This window comes from Homo sapiens, chromosome 2 (assembly GCF_000001405.40).
Source record: "Homo sapiens chromosome 2, GRCh38.p14 Primary Assembly".
Lineage (NCBI taxonomy): Eukaryota > Metazoa > Chordata > Mammalia > Primates > Hominidae > Homo > Homo sapiens.
Window position 1 is genome coordinate 96,210,784 of NC_000002.12, and position 22,746 is coordinate 96,233,529.

The following is a 22,746-nucleotide window of genomic DNA, read 5'->3' on the forward strand; positions in this document are numbered from 1 at the left end:
GGCGGGCGGATCACGAGGTCAGAAGATCCAGACCATCCTGGCTAACACGGTGAAACCTCGTCTCTACTAAAAATACAAAAAATTAGCCGGGCGTGGTAGTGGGCACCTGTAATCCTAGCTACTCGGGAGGCTGAGGCAGGAGAATGGCGTGAACCCGGGAGGTGGAGCTTGCAGCAGTGAGCCGAGATCGCGCCACTACACTCCACCCTGGGCGACAGAGCGAGACTCCGTCTCAAAAAAAAAAAAAACAAAGTTGACTTATAGAGCCAATAAGCCAAAAAATTGACTTATAGAGCCCCTTGGGAAATCTGGCCTCATACTATGTCAACACAGTCCCTGTACGAGGTTCCTGACCTGTGGTAAGTAAAGAATGTCACTTTCTAACAGGCTCAGGAGACCTAAGTTATCTTGACACCTCAAGAGGAGAGGAATTTACCCAACTCATAGGTATTCGAGGGTACAAACCCATGGCTGGGCTTGGCTTTAAAAAGGTCTTATCTAAGATTTCTTATGGAACAGAGTTCCATCAAAGCCAATTTTAAAAGCCTATGTGAAGGCCAGGCGCAGTGGCTCACACCTGTTATCCCAGCACTTTGGGAGGCCAAGGCAGGCAGATCACAATGTTAGGAGTTTGAGACTAGCCTGGCCAACATGGTGAAACCCTGTCTCTACTGAAAATACAAAAAGTTAGCTGGGCGTGGTGGCAGATACCTGTAATCCCAGATACTTGGAAGACTGAGGCAGGAGAATCGCCTGAGCCTGGGAGGCGGAGGTTGCAGTAAGCCACGATCGCACCACCGCACTCTAGCCTGGGCCACGAAGCAAGACTTCATCTCAAAAAAAAAAACAAAGCCTATGTGAAAAATAATTATTCTTGCTTCACTTTATGCAAATCATCAGGCCAAGTACAATAAGACTGCGGTTTATTTTGTAAACAAATCAGTTCTATCATGATTTGTTTTTAGTAAAAATGGGAACTGGAGAGAGAAAAATTATGCTTCAGAAGAAAAACTGTGGTACACCTTTTGTTAACTGTTCTTAAGTTTTTTTCTGCAGTTTGAACTAAATCCTAAATTCTTTGTGGGCTACAAGTTCCCAGGCTAATGCTTTTAAATCTTTACTTTTAAAACTGGGAACTGCACTCCTTACCCTAGTACTCATTATTTCCCTTATAGTACACGGTTCCCTTAAACACAGTACGAAAACTATAGGTGGCAATACTAATGCCTTTGCCATGCAAGCCTTCGAACCCCAGTCAGGCCTGCAGGAGTACACTCAGACAGTTGCAAAGTGGTTCCACTCCTCTCACCTTGGAGTCAACACCTACCCCTCACTACACCCCTGGTTAGTAGGAAGAAGTTAAGGTCTTTGCCCTTTTTCCATCTTCATTAACAACACCTTAAGATAAAGGTGTTATAAACCCAAAGGGAGGGATTAAAACCACCATTGCAAAATTATAACTGAGACAGAGAGATCTGACCTAACCAACTCCATCTTGCTTCTAACCTCCAAGTTGTCCTTATTCATTCCTGGGCATAGGCTGAACTAACTTTGGGAGGGACGTAATTTATAGTTTAAAACAAAGAGGATAACAGCCATTTCTCAAAACAAAGGTCCTTGCCTGGAGACTAGACTGCCTTTGTAGGACTAACAAATTAGCCACAAGGTTAGAAGTTAAGGTTTAAGAGGCTACAAGATTCTGACCCTCCCTGAACTGCTCCTAAGATCAGTGCTTGAGATATTTTGCTGACCTTGCACTTGATGGATCGGCTGGCACCACCCAGATGGATAAAATGGCTCATTTGATCTGTGACCCCCAACCGGGAACCAGCTCAGTGCAAGATGACAGCTTCAATTCCCTATGATTTCATCTCGGACCCAACCAATCAGCACTCTGGACTCACTGACCTTCCCCCACCCACCAAAGTCTCCTTTAAAACTCTGGGTTGGGGCCTGGCACAGTGGCTCATGCCTTTAATCCCAGCACTTTGGGAAGCTGAGGTGGGCGGATCACCTGAGGTCAGGAGTTTGAGACCAGCCTAACCAACATGGCGAAACCTCGTCTCTACAAAAAATACAAAAATTAGGCATGGTGGTGGGCGCCTATAATACCAACTATTTGGGAGGCTGAGGCAGGAGAATCGCCTGAACCCAGGAGGCCAAGGTTGCAGTGAGCCACAATAGCGCTATTGCACTCTAGCCTGGGTAACAGAGCGAGACTGCGTCTCACAAAAAAAAAAAAAAAAAAGGTCTCTTGGCCAGGTGCAGTGCGGTGGCTCACGCCTGTTATCCCAGCACTTTGCTGGGAGGCCATGGCAGGCAGATCACTTGAGGTCAGGAATTCAAGACCAGCCTGGCCAGCATAGCAAAATCCCGTCTCTACTAAAAATACAAAAGTTACCTGGGCATAGTAGTGCACCCCTGTAATCCCAGCTATTAGGGAGGCTGAGTGAAGCAGGAGAATTGCTTGCACCTAGTAGGCAGAGGTTGCAGTGAGCTGAGATCACGCCACTGCACTCCAGCCTGGTCAACTGAGCGAGACTCCATCTCAAAAAAAAAAAAAAAAATTGATCCCCAAATGCTCAGGGACACTGATTTGAGTAATGATGAAACTCTGGTCTCCCGCACAGTGGGCTCTGCGTGAGTTACTCTTTCTCTATTGCAATTCTCTTGTCTTGATAAATCAGCTCTGTCTATGCAGCAGGCAAGGTGAACCCATTGGGTGGTTACACCAGGATGGGGTAGGGGGCAGTAAAGACACCACTGGTGAAGGGGGACTCCTCAGGCCTTCGACGCCTGCCATCAAAACCTTCCTTCGACGCCTGCCATCAAAACCTTCCCCGGCCTCCCCTCCTGGCTCTCCCAGAAGCACCCCAAACATTCCTCTCTGCTAACTCCTCGGTCCAAGAATGGACCCGTGTCACAGCCTGAGCGCCCAGGACAGTCCAGAGGGAGTCACATGGGCAGGTGGCCCGTCGCAGTCTGCAAATATGTCAGCCTTTTGGTAAAAGAGCAACAGAAGAGAGTTTGTTGGGGCAGATGCCCTAGGTCAAGTAGTAGCTGTCCCTCTCTTTTTGACCCAAAGGTGACAGTGTTGGAAGGTAAACAGATTTACTCACCTGTGAGCAACCTGGCTAAATGATCTCAAAGTGTATTAAATTACTATTCTGTATCCAGCCTCATTAAAACAAAGCTGCTAAGTTGTTTCCTTACCCTTTTAAATCTTATATTTAAGCACCTTATTGACAGAAGAAAAAATATTATAAACTGTCTTGGTGTGAAATGGACTGCTGGTTCCAAGGCATTTAGGAATTTTACTGTAGCTAAAGAGTTATGCGATTTTAGACGTTCTTAATAAAAGTAACTGTTTCTCCAAAGAGAGATTATGCTTTCCTGGGAACCGAAATTTAGGTCTTTCCTATCCAGCCTGTCCGATTTTAGGTTGGATTAATGAGGTTTTATTTCATCTGGAAAGCAGTGAAGAAGAAATGTGTATGTAACAGAAAGTAGTATTTGACACCGTGTTTAGCCAGGGGTTTTTTGTTTTGTTTTGTTTTGTTTTGAGACGGAGTCTCACTCTGTTGCCTAGGCTGGATCTTGGCTCCCTGCAACCTCTACCTCCTGGGTTCAAGCAATTCCCATGCCTCAGCCTCCCAAGTAGCTGGGATTACAGGCCCATGCCACCATGCCCAGCAAATTTTTTGTATTTTAGTAGAGACGGAGTTTCACCATGTTGCCCAGGCTGGTCTCGAACTCCTGACCTCAGGCGATCTGCCTGCCTCGGCCTCCCAAAGTGCTGGGTTTGCAGACATAAGCCACTACACCCTCTCTCTAAAAACATTTTTAAAAGGAGCCAATGAGGCCTGCGCAAGCCCCAACCCATTGGTGGTTTGTTGTTGCTATCTGCCTCATAAAGCAGAGTGGAGGGTTTGTCTTTTGGGAAGATGAAGTGTCTTCTCTAAAAAAGCCTCCTACATAGTTGGCCTTGGCATCTGCCAGGAATAGAAGGGCAGGGCTTGAGGCTTCCTGAGTCTGGGTTTTCAGTTGAGGTGGAGAGTGAATACAGTGATTGTAACCAGAAAACCCGGAGTGGGGTGGAGTTACCTCCGGAACTCATCACTGTTAACTCAGCCTGGACTTTGTGACAGTTAGAGAAGTGGATTTCTTAATAATAATAATTTTTTTAAAGGAGCACTTTGGCCGGGTGCGGTGGCTCACGCCTGTAATCCCAGCACTTTGGGAGGCCAAGGCGGGCGAATCACCTGAGGTCAGGAGTTCGAGACCAGCCTGGCCAACATGGTGAAACCCCATCTCTACTAAAAATACAAAAGTTAGCCAGGTGTGGTGGTGCATGCCTGTAATCCCAGCTACTTGGGAGGCTGAGGCAGGAGAATTGCTTGAACCTGGGAGGCGGACGTTGCAGTGAGCCGAGATCATGCCATTGCACTCCAGCCTGGGCTACAGAGGGAGACTCTGTCTCAAAAAAAAAAAAAAAAAAAAAGGAGTACTTTGTGGGTTTGATTTTATATGTATACATAAGTTTTCTACCAATATCCTATAAACCAAACGAATCCTCAGAAACTCCTGCTGAGCCTCTCTAATGCAGCCATTTTCTCCATCCTACTGCCTGTTTCCCATCAGTACATAAACATAATCGAGTTCATCTTCAAAAAAGGCTTTGGGGATAAAAGTCTTTAAAAAGAGGCTTTAACTCTTCCCCTTTCTAGATACCACTTCTCTTTCCACTGCTAAGTTGTTTTTTTTTTTTTTTTTTTTTTTTTTTTTTTTTGAGACGAAGTCTTGCTCTGTTGCCCAGGCTGGAGTGCGGTGGCTTGATCTTGCCTCACTGCAACCTCTGGCACCCGAGTTTAAGCGATTCTCCTGCCTCAGCCTCTGAAGTAGCTGGGATTACAGGCGCGTGCCACCACGCCCAGCTAATTTTTGTATATTTAGTAGAGACAGGGTTTCAGCATCTTGGCCATGCTGGTCTTGAACTCCTGACCTCGTGATCTACCCGCCTCGGCCTCCCAAAGTACTAGGATTACAGGTGTGAGCCACCGCGCCCGGCCTATATATTTTTAAAAACAATGGCATATACAGGTGGCCCTTTGTATTTACGGGTTCTGCATCCAGGGATTCAACTAATTGTGGATGGAAAATATTTGGGAAAAAAAATTGCATCTATACTAAACATGTACCCACTTTTTTGTCATTATTCCCTAAACCAGCGGTCCCCAAACTTTTTGGCACCAGGGACTGGTTTCATGGGAGACAGTTTTTCCACGGACGGGGTAGGATGGTTTTGGGATGAAACTGTTCACCTCAGATCATCAGGCATTAGTAAGATTCTCATAGCAACCTAGATCCCTAGCATGCACAGTTCACAATAGGGTTCGCTCTCCTGTGAGAATCCAGTGTCACCGCTGAACTGACAGGAGGCAGAGTTCAGGCGGTAATGCGCTGTGAGCACCCCTCCCCTAAACAATACAGTATAACAACTGTAGAGCATTTACGCTGTATTAGTTATAAGGAATCTAGAGATGATTTAAAGTATATGGGAGTATGTACATAGATTATGTGCAAATACTATGCCATTTTATATCAGGGACTTGAGCATCCACAGGAGGTCCTGGAACAAATCCCCCGCAGATACCAAGGGACAACTATATGTTTCCTGCCTCTATTTCTGTACCTCCCTATCATTTCTTCCTGTTTAGAAATTAAAAAATCAATTTTTTGACAGAATTCTGTCACTTTTTTTAAGGTTCTAATAGTACTGTCTCAGATGACCTCCCTTCAAATAAACCAACTTTTTTTTTTTTTTTTTTTTTTTTGAGACAGGGTCTCACTCTGTCACCCAGGCTGGAGTGCAGTGGCTTGATCTCTGCTCACTACAACTTCCGCCTCCCAGCTCAAGCAATTCTCCTGCTTCAGCCTCTCAAGTAGCTGGGACTACAGGTGCATGCTACCATGCCTGGCTAATTTTTGTATTTTTTTGTAGAGACAGGGTTTTGCCATGTGGACCAGGCTGGTCTCGAACTCCTGGGCTCAAGAAATCCACCTGCCTCAGCCTCCCAAAATGCTGGGATTACAGGCATGAGCCATGGTGCTCCACCTGTTATCAACAAACTTTGTTTACTTGTGTATCCCCAGAACAATGTTGAAAAACTATATCCCCACTTTGCATTTTTTAAGGTGATCCAAGATTATGAGTTTAAATGATTGCACATTACACCATTTCTGGATTGTTGTAAATATTATTTTAAAATAAAGATGTTACATCATTTTCAAATGTATCCAATGGAATCTATATCATAGCAATTTAGTACCTATCATTATTCTTTTTAACTTTTTTTTTTTCAGTTGCAGGATTTAATAGAGTGAAACAGAGCTCCCATAAAATGGGAGGGGACCCAAAGGGGGTTGCCGCTCCCTGCTCGATTGCCTGGGTTTATATCCCGATCATTGTCCCTCCCCCTGTGCTCTCAGGCAATGTATGATTTGACTATTTCTTTACCTTCTGCTTTAGCCTCATTTGTATTTTAGTGAGCCCTCTTTACTGCCTGATTGGTCGGGTGTGAGCTGAGTTACAAGCCCCATGTCTAAAGGTGGGTGCAGTCACCTTTCCCAGCTAGGCTTGGGAATTCTTAGTTGGCCTAGGAAATCCAGTTAGTCCTGTCTCTCAGTCCCCCCTCTCAACAGGAAAACCCAAGTGATGTTGGGGAGGTTGGCCGACGGCCGCTCTGCTTCCTGCTGAATTTGGGCATACTAGGGATCATGCCGTTGATATTTCCTCGGGAGGGGTGCCTTCGATGTCATTAACATCGGAGCATGGGCTAGCAGGGGTCCACAGTAGATCTTAGTCATGGACTGCATCCGGGGCTCCATTTGAAGAACGATTTGTAGTTTTACAGCTTCGATTCTGGAAGAGACAAACTTAACAAGGAGGTTAAAGATACAGGGATTGAAATGTGTAGCCTGAAGTGCAGGGGCATAAGGGTGTGGGCAGTGAAAGTGGGGTTTCCGCAACTTTAGAAAAACTCCTATACGATGGGGCATCAATATTTCCGGGAAGCCGCATTCTTCATAGAAGCTCTTGGTAAGGGGAGCTACTGGTAGTACAGCGGCATACAGGGGGTGCAGTAAGAGTGAAAGGTTTGGTGAAGGCTTTTACATAATTTCTATTGATTAGCCGCAGGCAAAAGTATTTTTCCTTCTTCAGTGGCTAGCCATCCTGAGGGGAGGAAACTATGTCCTCCTGAGGTTCCCCGTTCTATTTCTTCTGCTGAGTACTGGGGCTTGGTTTCCCGGAGAGGATTACCCCATACTAGGGATCCTTCTATAAGCATTTCTAATGGAGGGTCCTGCCTTGCGGATCTTTGGCTTCAATATCCGCTTGGCAGTTCCCTTCTATTTCCCTTTACTTTCTGATGACCCTGGCAGTGTAAGACTGCCACCTCTTTAGGTTTCTGTAGAGCCAAGAATAATCTCCTAATGGCTTCCTGATGTTTGATAGGTGTTCCCTCGGAAGTTAGGAATTCCCTTTCTCTCCATATTGCTGCATGGGCATGGAGGACTAGGTAAGCATACTTAGAGTCTGTATATATATTTACCCTTTTTTCTTCTCCTAATTCTGGTGTCCGAGTGAGGGCTATTAGTTCTGCCAGCTGAGCACTAGTTCCTGGAGTGAGGAGATTACTTTCAGGTATTCCATTATCACTGACCACTGCATACCCCGCTTTTTGAAGTCCTTTTTCTACAAAGGAATTTCCATTAGTATACAAGTTGAGGTCGGGATCAATCAAGGGAACCTCTAGAAGGTCGCCTCGAGCAGCATAGGTTTGAGCAATCACCTATTGACAGTTGTATTCTGTCTTTATTGTTAGGAAGAAATGTGGCTGAGAGTTGCACAAATGTGCATTCGCAACACTGGCCCTTCAAGTAGTAGAGCCTGATATTTAAGGAAACGGTTGTCTGACAGCCACAAGTCTCTTTTAGCAGTGAGTATGCCGTTCACATCATGAGATGTCCGCGCAGTAAGATCTCTTCCCTGTATTATTTTAACTGCTTCAGATACTAAGACTGCTACTGCCACCACTACCCGTAAACAGTGAGGCCAACCCTTTGTCACTATATCAGTTTCCTTACTCAGTATGCCACGGGTTGCAAGCTGGTCTCTTGGACCTGTGTAAGGACTCCTAGAGCTATTCCTTTTTTTGTTTGCTTTTTGTTTTTTGTTTTTTTTGAGACAGAGTCTTGCTCTGTTGCCCAGGCTGTAGTGCAACGGCACCATCTGGGCTCACTGCAAGCTCCGCCTCCCAGGTTCACACCATTCTCCTGCCTCAGCCTCCTGAGTAGCTGGGACTACAGGTGCCTGCCACCACGCCTGGCTAATTTTTTGTATTTTTAGTAGAGATGGGGTTTCATCGTGTTAGCCAGGATGGTCTCAATCTCCTGACCTCGTGATCCGTCCGCCTCGGCCTCCCAAAGTGCTAGGATTACAGGCATGAGCCACCGCACCCAGCCGCTATTCCTGTTTTTTTCTGTGACATATAAAGAAAAGTCTTACCTTGTTGGCAAGCTTAACACTGGGGCTTGGGTTAGGGCCCTCTTTAGGGCCTGGAAAGCCACTTCTGCTTCAGATGTCCATCTTACTAAATGGGTATTGGCCTTCTGAGTTTCCTTAATTAGTGTATATAATGATCTGGCTATTTTGTCTTACCTGGGAATCCATATTTGGCAGAAGCCTGTTATGTCAAGGAACCCTCTTAGTTGCTTTAGGGTTTTGGGATGAGGATAAGCCAGTATAGGCTGGTTACATTTCTTATTGAGGGCCCTGGTGCCTTTGGATAATTTTAGCCCTAAGTATTTAACCTGCTGTGAGCAGAGCTGAGCCTTTGGTTTGGAAACCTTGTAGCCACAGGTGGCGAGGAAATTTAAGAGCACTTGGGTGGCTTGATGGCACAAGGTTTCTGAACGGGCAGCTAAAAGTAAATCATCCACGTACCAAAGGACAAGAGTGTCCAGGTATTAAAACTGTCTGAAGTCTTGGGCTAATGCCTGGCCAAATAGATGGGGGCTACCCCTGAATGCTTGGGTAGCCCCTGCTTTTGCTAGAATGTCTCTCCCTAACAAGGGAGTGGGGCGTTCAGGCATAATTAGAAAAGCATGTGAAAAGAGTAAAGTTCCCCAGTCACAACTTAGTGGCTGGGAGAAGTATCTAGTGACTGGTTGTCCTAGGACCCCTCAGATAGTGACAGATCTGGAGGACAGGACAGGAGAGTAAGACTGAGAAGGCCACAGCAGTGTCCAGGAGACAGTTAACCTCCTGGCCCTCAGTGGTCAAGCATACCCCGGGCTCTGTGAGGGTGATGGCATGGGCTGGCACTTGCCCCGGGCACCCTCAGTCCTGCTGCTTGGATCATCTGGTTAGTGGCCTCTGACTCAGAGGACCTTCATCCCCTGGGGCAGTGGGCCTTCCAGTGATTCCCTTGACATAAGGGGCATGGACGAGGGGGTGGCTTATTTCTATTCGGACAATCTTTTTTAAAGTGTCCTTGAAGACCACACTGGAAGCAAGCCCTATTAGGCATTTGATTTGCCCAGCCTTTCCGTGTTCCAGAGCTTCCAAAGTCTGCTTGCCTGAGAGCCCTGACTAAAGCAGTGGCCTTTTTCTTATCCCGTTTATCCCGTTCCACATGCTCCTCCTGATCTCTATTATAAAAAACCAAGGTTGCCAAATTCAATAGGGTTTCTAAGTTTTGCTCTGGGCCTAAGGCAGACTTTAGACGTTTTTTTCTAATGTCTGCAGCTGAATGAGTGATAAACTTATCATTTAAGATTAGTTGGCCTTCAACAGAGTCAGGTTGACAGAGAGGTATGCTTCCTCAATGCCTCCCTTAGTCTCTCCAGAAAGGCAGTAGGATTTTCTTCCTTTCCCTGTGTTATGGTGGACATCATTGAATAATTTATAGCCTTCTTCCTAGTTTTCCTTAGTCCTTCTAGCACGCAAGTTAGTAAAGGTCTGCGGCACCAATCTCCATATTCTGATTCTGCGTTCCAGTGGGGGTCTACACTGGGAACTGCCTGCTGGCCTGTGGGGAATTGTTCTCTTTCCTCTGTTGTCATCCTATCATTGACCTGACTGAGATACCAGAGATCGCCGAACTCTCGGGCTGAAGTTATGGCGGCACTTCTCTCATTTGGGGTTAGTGTCTGATCTAGCAGTAACATTATATCCCTATCAAGATGCATTCCCTTAAACAACAGTTCTTATGCAAATTCGTTTCAGAGAGGGTGTAGGTAACCTTTTGAGTAAGGATTGAGATAGAGTTTTTTGATTCTGTAAGTACTTTAAGGCTTGGCTGAGTGCAAACAGCTTGCACATTTGAGCAGACCAATTATTAGGCAATTTTCCTAACTCTGCTTCCACAAGAGTCTCCCTGTCAATTACTGAATACCCAGAGTCTCCCTATCAATTACTGAATACCCATTGTGGTTTGTTTCTCAATCATCTGGGAGGAGCCATCTATAGTCCTGTCCTGAAGGGAGTTCCTCCTAGATCTGGTCGGACCTTTGTATGGTAATTGAGATTTAAATCCCCTATTAGGAAATCTGCTGGGTTAAGGGAATTTTTAGTGGTTAATGTTAAATCACCTTTTTCTAACAGAATAGCCCCATACTTTAAGATTTTTGAGTTAGTGAGCTACCTTTTTGCTTTTTTGACTTAGAATAATTCTGAACTGGTGAGGTGTGCTCACAGTGAGGTTTCCTCTAAAAGTTACTTTTCTACTTTCTTCTGTTAGCAAAGCAGTTTCTGCTACAGAATGAATGCATTTGGGCCATCCGTGGGTTCCTGGGTTAAGGATTTTTGATAGGAAGGCTACTGGTTGTCAGTGGTCTCAGTGTTTTCAGACTATGCCCTTGTTTACACTGACAACAAGTTAGTATTGGAGTGTTATAGGGTCACAAAGAAGACCTTCAATTATCAATTATAGGCTTTAAATTTACCCTGGCTTTTAAAGGAATAGGGCACACTGTTTTTTTCTTTACTACTTCTGTCTCTTTTTTTCCCTGTCTCCCTCTCTTCTCTCTTTTCTCTCTCTGTCTCTCTCTATCTCTTCTCTCCTTGACTTACTCAATTTGCTTTCATTCTGATCTATTATGTTGTCGTAGACCCAGTTCCAATTGTTAAAGTACTGGGTCATCAGTTCTAAGGCCCTGGCCAAGGAGCCAAGGCTTAGAGATTGCATTGCAGAGGGGTAAGCTGGGTAGAAATCGGGGGAGGAGAGCATCTTACACAATGGAAGAGCAATCCTCCTAGGCATTTACAAACTTGGGGCCTTGGCAAGGGTGGTAGGGAATGGGTCCCACATAACTGCCCATGTCAAGAGCTGTATGCCTAAATTGGGAGGGACACCAGGGACAAAACTCCCTGGGTTCATAGCCTAGATGCCTAAGGACACAGCATAGAGCTTCCTTAGATCCCTTTGGAGATACAACTTGCTCTAATACTTGGGAAAGGAAATGAAAGTCTGAACCATTAGTACCTAGGAGGCAGGGATCAGAGGAAGTAGATTCAGAGGTAAGGAGAATTTGGGGGCTACACTTTCAAGAAAGTCATGGTCGGGACCCAGGACGTATGGGTCAGAAGGAAAGGTAGGGGTACACGCATGGGCAACTGTTGAGTAGAGACTTCTGGCTGTGCCATGAACTCAACCGGCTAATGCTGGGAGTTTGAGATGACAGCTTTCTGCCTCTAGTAGGCCCTCAGTTTCCCCAGGAAAATTGAAAGCAGAAGCTGGTTCCAGGCAGACCAACGCTTCCAACTCAGAAGAATTGGGGGTTGTTAGAAAGCCCTTTCCCAGACAGCCTCACACCTGAGTGTTAAGTCTGGTGGCCACACTAATCGTTTTTAACTAGCCGACAGGTGCCTGGTATTTTCCTCCAATTCTAAGGAAGCATAGGACAGAATAGCAAGTGAAAGTGGTCCAATATTACTCACTGCTTTGGAGGTCCCTTCGTGGTCACCAAAATGTTACCGGGGGGGTCCTTGTTCTTAGAGCTCCCAAGGTGGTGGTGGGCCGCTTCCAAGGTGGTGGCAAGCCTCTTGTTCTCTGACCTGGGGTTCTTGGCCTCACGGATCCCAAGGAATGGAACCTTGGGCCATGCGATGAGTGTTATAGCTCTATTGGAAGCCGTGGGTCATGGAAGAGAACCGTGGAACCCAGCGACTAGTGTTCAGCTTGATTAGGACGAACCCGGGCACTTAGCCATGTAGGAACAATAGTGAGCCTTTAGCCTGATCAGGAGAGGCAATGGGCACCTCACTGGATCAGGAGCACAGTGGACACCCTGCTGGATCTGGAGGGGTGGAAGTCAGCAGCAGGTCTGCAACGGTGGCAAACAGCAGTGGGTGGACAGTGAGCAAAAGCTCAGCTCGAGCCATAACAAACACAGACCAGAAGAGTATGTGGTTGCAAGATTTAATAGAGTGAAAACAAAGCTCCCGTAAAATGGGAGGGGACCCAAAGGGGGTTGCCCTTTTTTAACTTTTTTTAAGAGACAGGGTCTCACTATGTTGCCTAGGCTGGTCTTGAGCTCCTGGGCTCAAGCAATCCTCCTGCCTTGGCCTCCCAAAGTGCTGGGATTACAAACGTAAGCCACCACACCCAACCCTAGTCATTATTCTTTTTTTAAGAGTTGCTAATTTTACTTTTCACCTTCATCTGCTTACCCCACAGAATTTTATCCTAATGAAGTATATGTACAGCATAAATTCTTCTGTTGTTTTTGTTGAGATGGAGTTTCGCTCTTGTTGCCCAGGCTGGAGTGCCATGGTGTGATCTCGGCTCACCACAACCTCCGCCTCCTGGGTTCAAGTAATTCTTATGCCTCAGCCTCCCGAAGCTGGGATTACAGGCATGTGCCACCATGCCTGACTAATTTTTTGTATTTTTAGTAGAGACAGGGTTTCTGCATGTTGGTCAGGCTGGTTTTGAACTCCCGACCTCAAGTGATCCACCCGCCTCGGCCTCCCAAAGTGCTGGGATTACAGGCGTGAGCCACCACACCCAGCCAGTATGATCTTGGCTCACTGCAGCCTCCGCCTCCCAGGTTCAAGTGATTCTCCTGCCTCAACCTCCTGAATAGCTGGGACTACAGGTGTGCACCATCATGCCCGGCTGATTTTTGTAATTAGAGATGGGGTTTCACCATGTTGGCCAGGGTGGTTTCGAACTTCTGACCTCAGAAGATATGCCCGCCTCGGCCTTAAAGTGCTAGAATTACAGGTGTGAGCCACTGTGCCCATCCATAAATTCTTTATTGATCCCCCATCATATGCTCCTGTCTCTCACACACAAAATAAAAATTAAAAATTTTTTAAAATTTCTTATAAGTCTTTAAGGGTTCATTATTTTTCTGGACTGAATTTTTATTTCTATTATTAGCATACAAGATTAAAACAAGCCAGGCGCGGTGGCTCATGCCTGTAATCACAGCACTTTGGGAGGCTGAGGTGGGCGGATCACGAGGTCAGGAGTTCAAGACCAGCCTGACCAACATGGCGAAACTCCATCTCTACTAAAAAATACAAAAATTACCCGGGCATGGTGGTGCGTGCCTGTAATCCCAGCTACTCAGGAGGCTGAGGCAGGAGAATTGCTTGAACCCGGGAGGCAGAGGTTGCAGTGAGCCGAGATCATGCCACTGCACTCCAGCCTGGGTGACAAGAGTGAGACTTCATCTCAAAAAAAAAAAAAGATTAAAACAACATGTATCTCAAATGTCATTAAAAATCATAAAAATGTGTCCAGGTGCAGTGGCTTACACCTGTAATCCCAGCACTTTGGGAGGCCAAGGCAGGCAGATCACAAAGTCAGGGGATTGAGACCATCCTGGCTAACACGGTGAAACCCCGTCTCTACTAAAAATACAAAAAATTAGCTGAGCTTGGTGGCAGTTGCCTGTAATCCCAGCTACTCGGGAGGCTGAGGCAGGAGAATCTCTTGAACCTGGGAGGCGGAGGTTGCAGTGAGCCGAGATCATACCATTGCACTCCAGCCTGGGTAACAGAGTAAGACTCCGTCTCAAAAAACAAAATTATAAAAATATGTTGGGCACTTCTCATAATGAGATAGGTAAAACTGATAATTCTTTTCAATTAGTATTATTAGTTGAATATTATTAGGCTAGAAAATACAGTGTTGATCATCAGATCTCCTATTTTTCGTTTTTATTGAGATAACACTAAGAAAAGTTATGTAAGTACTTTGTAATGAAGGATGGTTCTTTAAATTTTGTGTGTGGATGCCGTATTGTTCTATTGTCAACTTGGTCAAGCTAGGTATTTCCCAGAATTCTCCTCCACATATAGAGTTGGCCAAACAGAAACTTGTTTGGAAAGCAGAAGTGAAACAGGGCCGTTATACTTTTGGAAACTCCACAGTCAGATGGAGTGATAAATAAAGGCAGAGGTAACTGGCTCATTCCAGCTTGTACTGACTCTTCTCTGCTTTAGTTCCAGGACTTCTTCCTGTATTACGAGCCTAATGACCAGCAAGGGCCTCACACCCACAGAGGCAACAGCTTCTCAAACTTCTCTATGACTTTCCAACTCCTTGTCCTCAACTCAAGGAGTCAGTTGGCCTTCACTTGGGTTCTCTCTTCCTATGCTGCAAAAGGGAAACTCTCCAGGCAGTCAAGGGGTAATCATAGATTCACTGCCACAATTATGCTGTGAAACATTACATTACCATCATTCTGAAAAGTTCCCTGTGCCCCTTCGCAGCCAGTCCCTTTCCCCAACCCCTGGCCTTTGACAGCCATAATCTGCTTTCTATCACTATAGTTTTGTCTTTTCTAGAATTTCATATGAATGAAATCATATAGTATGTTGTATCTGGCTTCTTTCCATTAGTGTAATGGTTTTGAGATTCATCTATTTTGTTGTATCAGTAGTTTGTAGCTTACTATCCCATTGTATGAATATACTGACATTTGTTTATCCATTTGATGGACATTTGGATTGTTTCCAGGTTGGGCTGCTATGAATATTTGCATGCAACTCTTTCAGGTAAATACCTAGAAAAGGAATTGCTAGGTTTTATGGTGTTTCACTTTTTTTTTTTTTGAGACGGAGTCTTGCTCTGTTGCCCAGGCTGGAGTGCAGTGGCAGTGTTTCACCTTTTAAGAAATTGCTAACCTGCTTCCAAAGTAGTTTTATCATTTTGTATTCCCACCAGCAGTGTATAAGAGTTCTGATTATTCTGCATCCTTGCCAGTACTCCATATTGTCAGTTTTTAAATTTTATTTAGAGACGGAGTTTCGCTTTTGTTGCCGAGGCTGGAGTGCAATGGTGCGATCTCGGCTCACTGCAACCTCCTCCTCCTGAGTTCAAGTGATTCTCCTGCCTCAGCCTCCCAAGTAGCTGGGATTACAGGTGCCCGCCACCACGCCCAGCTAATTTTTTGTATTTTTAGTAGAGATGAGGCTTCACCATGTTGGCCAGGCTGGTCTCGAACTCCTGACCTCAGGTAATCCACCCACCTTGGCCTCCCAAAGTACTGGGATTACAGGTATGAGCCACCGCACCCGGCCTTATAGTAATACTTCATTGTGTTTTTTCTTTTGGTTGTTTTTGTTTTGTTTTGTTTTTTTGAGATGGAGTCTTGCTCTGTTGCCCAGGCTGGAGTGCAATGGTACGATCTCAGCTCACTGCAACTTCCACCTTCCGGGTTCAAGTGATTCTCCTACCTCAGCCTCCCAAGTAGCTGGGATTGCAGGCATGTGCCACCACACCCAGCTAATTTTTATATTTTTGGTAGAGACAGGGTTTCGCCATGTTGGCCAGACTGGTCTCGAACTCCTAACCTCAGGTAATCCTCCACCTGCTTCAGCCTCCCAAAGTGCTGGGATTACAGGCGTGAGCCACTGTGCCTGGCCTCATTGTGATTTTAATTTGTACTTCTTTGTTGAGTAGTCTTGTTAAGCATTTTTTCATGTGCTTATTGACCATTTGTTTCTCTTTTATGACTTGTTTTTTGAAATATTTTGCCCGTTTTTAAATTTAAAAAAAATTATTTTTTATTATTTAAATTGTTTATATATTCTGGATACAAGCCCTTTATTCAGATATGTTTTGAAAATATTTTCTCCAGTTCCAGGCTTGCCTTTTCATTGTCTTACTTGTGTCTGAAGAATACAAATATTTGATTTTGATGATGTTCAGTGCATCAAAAAAAAAATTTTAATGGTTTGTGTCCTATCTAAGAAATCTTTGCTTATCCAAACATAACAGAGGTCTATGTTTTCCTTTAGAAATGTTATGGTTTTCATTTTTACACTTATATCAATGATACATATTGAGCTAATTTTTATATATGATATCAGGTAAGGATAGGGGTTCATTTTTTCCCCATATAGATATCACGTTGCTGTAACATAATTTGTTGAAAAGATTATCTTTTTCTCCCCATTCTAAAGGCCTTTGCACTGTGTTGAAACCCAGTTCACCATATATGTGTGGGCCTACTTCTAGACTCTGTTTCATTGATCTATATGTCCTTATGCCAGTTTCACCCTATCTTGATTAGTGTAGCTAATAAAGTAATTAGTGTAGCTATAAAGTAAGTACTGAAATCAATTAAATATAAGTCCTCCAACCTGGTTTTTTGTTTTGCAACGTTTTTTGCCTGTTCTGAGTCCCTTGTGTTCCCATATACATTTTAGAGTCACCTTGTCAATTTCTACCCCAAAAAAATGCCTGATCAGATTTTGATTGGGACTGCATTGAATCTTTAATTTGGGGAGAATTGATGTCTTAGCAATATGGAGTCTTCCCAATTCATGAACATAGCATATCTCTTATTTATTTATTCCTCCATTTAACTTTCTCAGCCATTTTTTTAGCTTTAGTGTATAGGTCTTGCATGATTTTGTTTAATTTATCCTTAAGTGTTTTTCTGATTTTTGGTCCCGTTGCAAGTGGTATTTTAAATTTTTCAATTTCCAATACTTCAATACTAGTATATAGAAATATAAAAGGTTTTTTTTGTTTGTTTGTTTGTTTGTTTTTTGAGACAGAGTTTTGCCCAGGCTGGAGTGCAACGGAGGAGATTTCAGCTCACCTCAACCTCCACCTCTCGGATTCAAGCGATTTTCCTCCCTCAGACTCCTGAGTAGCTGGGATTACAGGCATGTGCCACCACACCCGGCTAGTTTTGTATTTTTCAGTAGAGACAGAGTTTCTCCATGTTGGTCAGGCTGGTCTCGAACTCCTGACCTCAGGTGATCCGCCCGCCTTGGCCTCCCACAGTGCTGGGATTATAGGTGTGAGCCACTGTGCCCAGCTGAAATATAATAGTTTTTATGTTGACTTTGTATTCCACAATCTTTATTTCTTTTATTTATTTATTTATTTATTTATTTATGTATTTATTTATTTATTTTGAGACAGGGTCTCACTCTGTCACCCAGACTGGAGTGCAATGGCACGATCTCAGCTCACCGCAAACTCTGCCTCCCAGGCTCAAGCGATTCTCCTGCCTCAGCCTCCTGAGTAGCTGGGATTACAGGCATGTGCCACCATGCCCGGCTAATTTTTGTATTTTTGGTAGAGACAGGGTTTCACCATATGGGCCATGCTGGTCTCGAACTCCTGACCTCAAATGATCCACCTGCCTCAGCCTCTCAATGTGCTGGGATTACAGGTGTGAGCTACTGCGCCCAGCTGTCCCACAATCTTTCTATTAGTTCTAATAGCTTATTTTGATAAATTCCTTAGAGTTTTTTATATACACAATTATGTTTTCTGCAAATAAAGACAATTTTCCTTCTTCCTTTCCAGTCTGTATGTATGAGTCCATTTTCTGTTGCTTATAACAGAATACCTGAAGTTGGGTGATTTATAGAGAAAAAGAAGGTGATGGTGACACTAAAAGCTTAGACTTCACCACTATGCAGTATATTCATGTGACTCAACTGCACTTGTATCCCTTATATTTATACACATTTTTAAAGGGAAAAAAAGAAAAAAGATTTGTTTCTTATAGTTATGGAGTTCTCAGAAGTCCAAGGTTGAGGGGGCATATCTGGTGAGAGCCTTCTTGTTGATGGGGACTCTACCGAGTCCTGAGGTGGCCACAGGGTGTCCCATGGCAAGGGGGCTGAACGTACTAATGTGCTATGCTCACGTCTCTCTTCCTCTTATAAAGTCACTAGTTTCACTCTGATGATAACCCATTAATTCATTAACCCTTTAATATACTGATCTATGAATTAATCTATTCATGGGGGTAGAACCCTCTTGATCCAATCACCCTCAAAGGCCCCACCTCTCAACACTGCCACATTGGGGATCAAGTTTCAACATGAGTTTTGGAGAGGACATTCAAGCCATAGCACTGTACTTGTTTCTTTTTCTTGCTTTATTTCACTGACTAGAACCTTCAATACAATGTTGGATAGAAGTAGTGAGAGTAGACACCCTTCACTTGTTCCCAGTTTTAATGACAAAGCATTCAAACTTTTACCCTTTTCCAATCATGTTTCTCTAATGTAGAGCTACAACTCTGACCATCTCTCCTTCTAGGTAAAATGAGCAACCACATGCACCAATCAAAGTTTTGCCCACTCGGAAGATTTCCTTTGACCACTGTTCTCAGGACCACCTTGAGTGGGGTTATAACAATATGTGATGCAGAAACATCTGTAACAAGGAACCAGACTTGAATTTTTTTTTTTTTTCCTTAGGCAGGGTCTCACTGTCGCCCAGGCTGAAGTGCAGTGGCACGATCACCACTGCACTTCAGCCTCAACCTCCTAGGCCCCAGTGGTCCTCCTGCTTCAGCCTCCCAAGTAGCTGGGATCACAGGTGCATGCCACTGCACCCGGCTATTATTATTATTATTATTATTATTATTATTTTGTATAGGTGGGATCTTACCATGTTGCTCAGGCTGTTCTCGAACTACTGGGCTCAAGCAGTCCTTCCGGCTGGGCCTCCCAAAGTGCTGAGATTATAAAATGTAAGCCACCGTGCCCAGCCAGACTTGAATTTTTTTTTTTAATTTTTACCTCCTTGGTCAACTGGTGATAGGTGATTTCCCATGAGGCCATAGATGTGGGTTGAGAGAGAATAGGCAATGTAGCAGGAGTAGTTACTCAGAGAACTTGCTTCTGCATTTAGGACCTGCTCAGACCCAATCTCATTTATACCATTTCCATTTCATAATGACTCCATCATTAAGTAGATGGAGTGCAACTTTCTGGCTTGATGAGTCATATAATACCCAATTTAATTTATCATTAATAAATAATGATATTTAGGCTTAGCTCAGGACACTTGATAATTTGGTGGCCCACAGCCAAGGGCTTTAGTGTCCACTAGGGCCAAGTGACATGCTCGAAGCTGTATCTCAAAAGGAGAATAGTTACCTGCAGAAGATAGTATTGTGTTTCTTCTGATTTCATCTTGAGGCCTCTTTCTGGAGAGTGGCTGTAAACTCTAGCCCTGTCCTGACTCCAGGGCCCCAGGAGAGCTGGCCATGGATGTTTGCAGTGCGCCATTGACAGGATACTTCATTATCTGGCAGATGGCCTAATTCCTAAGTGTCAGACCCATGACCAGGTGTCCGTCTCACAGGAAACTTGTTGATACTGGCAGACACCTGTGTGGCTCTTGTCTGACTTGTGTCCAGTTTATTCCTACCAAGATAGCCACTCTGTAGGAGAACCCTCTATGGAATGAGAGTTGGGTTCAGGTATGATGGTCAGGTGAGTTGCAGAGGAGGCAACACAGCAAAACACATGAAGTAACAGAAGCAGTGTATTGCTTACAGAGCTCTTACAGAGAAGAGGGCAGCACGCCTCTCAGGGCCAGTGGGGAGAGAGCTGGCCAGGACACACGTGCTTAGCTGGGGAGCAGGGAATGAGAGAGAAAGCAAGGGGCCTGAGGGCTAATGTCTGTATTGGGTCCAGGCCATTACCCAAGCAGGTTTCCTGAGAGGAGTTTTTGTTTTTTTTGTTTGTTTGTTTGTTTTTGGTGGGGGGGGGGTTGGTTTTTGGTTTTGTTTTTTTTGTTGTTGTTTTTTTTTTGAGACAGAGTCTCACCCTGTCACCTAGGCTGGAAGGCAGTGGTGCAATCTTGGCTCACTGCAACCTCCGCCTTGCAGGGTCAAGTGATTCTCATGCCTCTGCCTCCCGAGTAGCTGGGATTACAGGTGCCCACCACCACACCTGGCTAATTTGTGTATTTTTAGTAGAGACATGGTTTTGCCATGTTCCCCAGGCTGGTCTCAAACTCCTGACCTCAGGTGATCCTCCTGCCTCGGCCTCCCAAAGTGCTGGGATTACAGGCATGAGCTGCCATGCCCAGCGGGTTTTTGGTTTTTTGAAATGGTCTCATTCTGTTGCCCAGGCTGGAGTGCACTGGCGCTATCACAGCTCACTGCACCCTCTACCTCTCAGGCTCAAGCAGTCCTCCCACCTCAGCCTCCTAAATATCTGGGATCACAGGAGTGCGCCACCATGCCTAGCTAATTTTTAAATTATTTTTGGTAGAGACAAGGTCTCGCTATGTTGCCCAGGCTGTCTCAAACTCCTTGTCTCAAGCAGTCCTCCCACCTTGGCCACTCACAGTGTTGGGATTACAGGCGTGAGCCACTGCATCCGATAGGAGTTCTAACTGGTAAGTTTAGAGCAAGCAGGCACAAGTATCATGGGGTCATGCTGTGACTCAGAGGTGGTCACTGCAGCATGTCTGGGCAGTCCATGTGGGGCGAGGGGGTTGGAGCAAGTCACATATGTAGTATCTAGGTGTCCACAGGGAAGTGGTCATCAGGAGGTGGTTGTATAAGGCAGGTATCTAGATTGATCACACTGAGGAGCTAGGAGGAGGTGGAGAACTGGACAATGTGTCAAGGGTGACTGAGTCCTGCTTTTTATATGAGAAAGGCTAACCTGTATTTAAAACAGATGCTGAGACAACATACAATTATAAAAATTTCGCCAGGTGCAATGGCTCATGCCTGTAATCCCCACCCTTTGGGAGGCCAAAGCTGGAGGATCACTTAAGCCCAGAAGTGTGAAACCAGTCTGGGCAACATAGCAAGACATTGTCTCTACAAAAAAAAAAATTTTTTAAGTTAGCCAGGCATGGAGGCACACGCCTGTAGTCCCAGCTACGTGGGAGGCTGAGGTGGGAGAATGGCTTGAGCCCAGGAGATCGAGGGTGCAGAGAGCCATGCTTGCACCACTGCAGTCCAGCCTGGTGAGACAAAGTGAGACCCTATCTCAGAAAAAGAAAAGAAAATATCCTGAGTTGCAAATGCCCTGAATACACCTAACCTACAGGACATCATAGCTTAGCCTAGCCTACCTCAAACATGCCCAGAACACTTACATTGGCCTACAGTTGGGCAAAGTGATCCGTCCATACAGCCCACTGTAGAATATTGGTCATCCAGCCTAGTGATCCTGTGGCTGGCAGAGCTGCACTCACTGCTGCTGCCCAGCATCACGAGAGAGCATCGCACCACATATCACTCACCTAGGGAAAGATCAAAATCCAGCATTCGAAATACAGCTTCTACTGAATGCACATCGCTTTCGCATCATTGCTGAAGTAAAAAAAATTAAGTTGAACCTTCATAAGTCAGGAACTGTCATGACAATGTCATCTTTTCTTCTGGGCCCCACTCAAAACTGATAGCCTTTTAAGTTATTCAGAAAATGGGTCAGAGAAGAACATTGAAATGAGGTATACATTGCCTTCAAAATCCAAAACCACTGGGCATTGTGCCTCTTAGTGGTAGTAGGGCCCAGCTTAACATGCCCCAGACCGTTAGGCCCCCCAGAAGGTTCACTGAATGTTTGTGGGATTTATTTCCCACCCTCTGGCATACATATATCTCGTCAAGGTGGCTAGAATAGTTACTACTTCTAATCAGCATATTATCAACACATTAGATGAATGTGATGTCCTGTGGAGTAGAGAAGAGGACAAGGTCTCCACAAACTAGATGATGACAGATGACTGCGAATTGATACAGTCCTGAGTTTGGATAACGAATAGGTATTGCTAGCCCTGTCAGCTCAAAGCAAACTGCTTTTGATGGTCTTTACTAAAAATTGCTGAGGAAAAAAGCATTCATCAGATCAATAGCTGCATACTTTGCTCCAAGGGATGCATTGATTTGCTTCATGAATGAAGGCACACCTAGAATAGCAGCTGCAATTGGAGTCACAACCTAATTGAGTTTATAATAATCCACGCCATTCTCTTGGATCCATCTTGGATCTGCACAGGCTAGAGAGCTAAGCTGAATGGAAATCATCAGCTCTGTGTCTTTCAGATCATTGATTAGTGGTGGAACTAATTTCTGCAATCTCTCCAGGAATGCAGTGCTGCTTTTGGCTCACTGCTTTTATAGGTAGAGGCTAACATTTATATGGTTTGTCTTTTTTTTTTTTTTTTTGAATAGAGTTTCGCTCTTTTTGCCCAGGCTAGAGTGCAATGGCACTATCTCAGCTCACTGCAACCTCTGCCTCCCGGGTTCAAGCAATTCTCCTGCCTCAGCCTCCCAAGTAGCTAGGATTTCAGGCATGTACCACCATGCCCAGCTAATTTTGTATTTTTAGTAGAGATGGGGTTTCTCCATGTTGGTCAGGCTGGTCTCGAACTCCGACCTCAGGTGATCCACCTGCCTCAGCCTTCCAAAGTGCTGGGATTACAGGCGTGAGCC

General features: G+C 44.9%; 1 long non-coding RNA gene and 1 other non-coding gene across 2 annotated transcripts in view, besides 1 other annotated feature; both read left to right on the top strand.

Annotated features, from left to right (window-relative positions):
* Positions 1-22,746, top strand: part of STARD7-AS1 (STARD7 antisense RNA 1) — a 34,208-nt gene that overhangs the window by 2,368 nt on the left and 9,094 nt on the right. The window lies entirely within an intron of this gene.
* On the top strand, positions 3,856-3,979 carry SNORA112 (small nucleolar RNA, H/ACA box 112). Its single transcript, NR_145789.1, has one exon. It is a non-coding gene; the product is annotated as a small nucleolar RNA, H/ACA box 112 (small nucleolar RNA).
* Positions 14,328-14,622: an enhancer, noted in NCBI's record as "tiled region #4718; K562 Activating DNase matched - State 5:Enh". NCBI's record gives its function as "activates a minimal TATA promoter and a strong SV40 promoter by Sharpr-MPRA in K562 cells {active_cell/tissue: K562}" and the evidence as "EXISTENCE:reporter gene assay evidence [ECO:0000049][PMID:27701403]".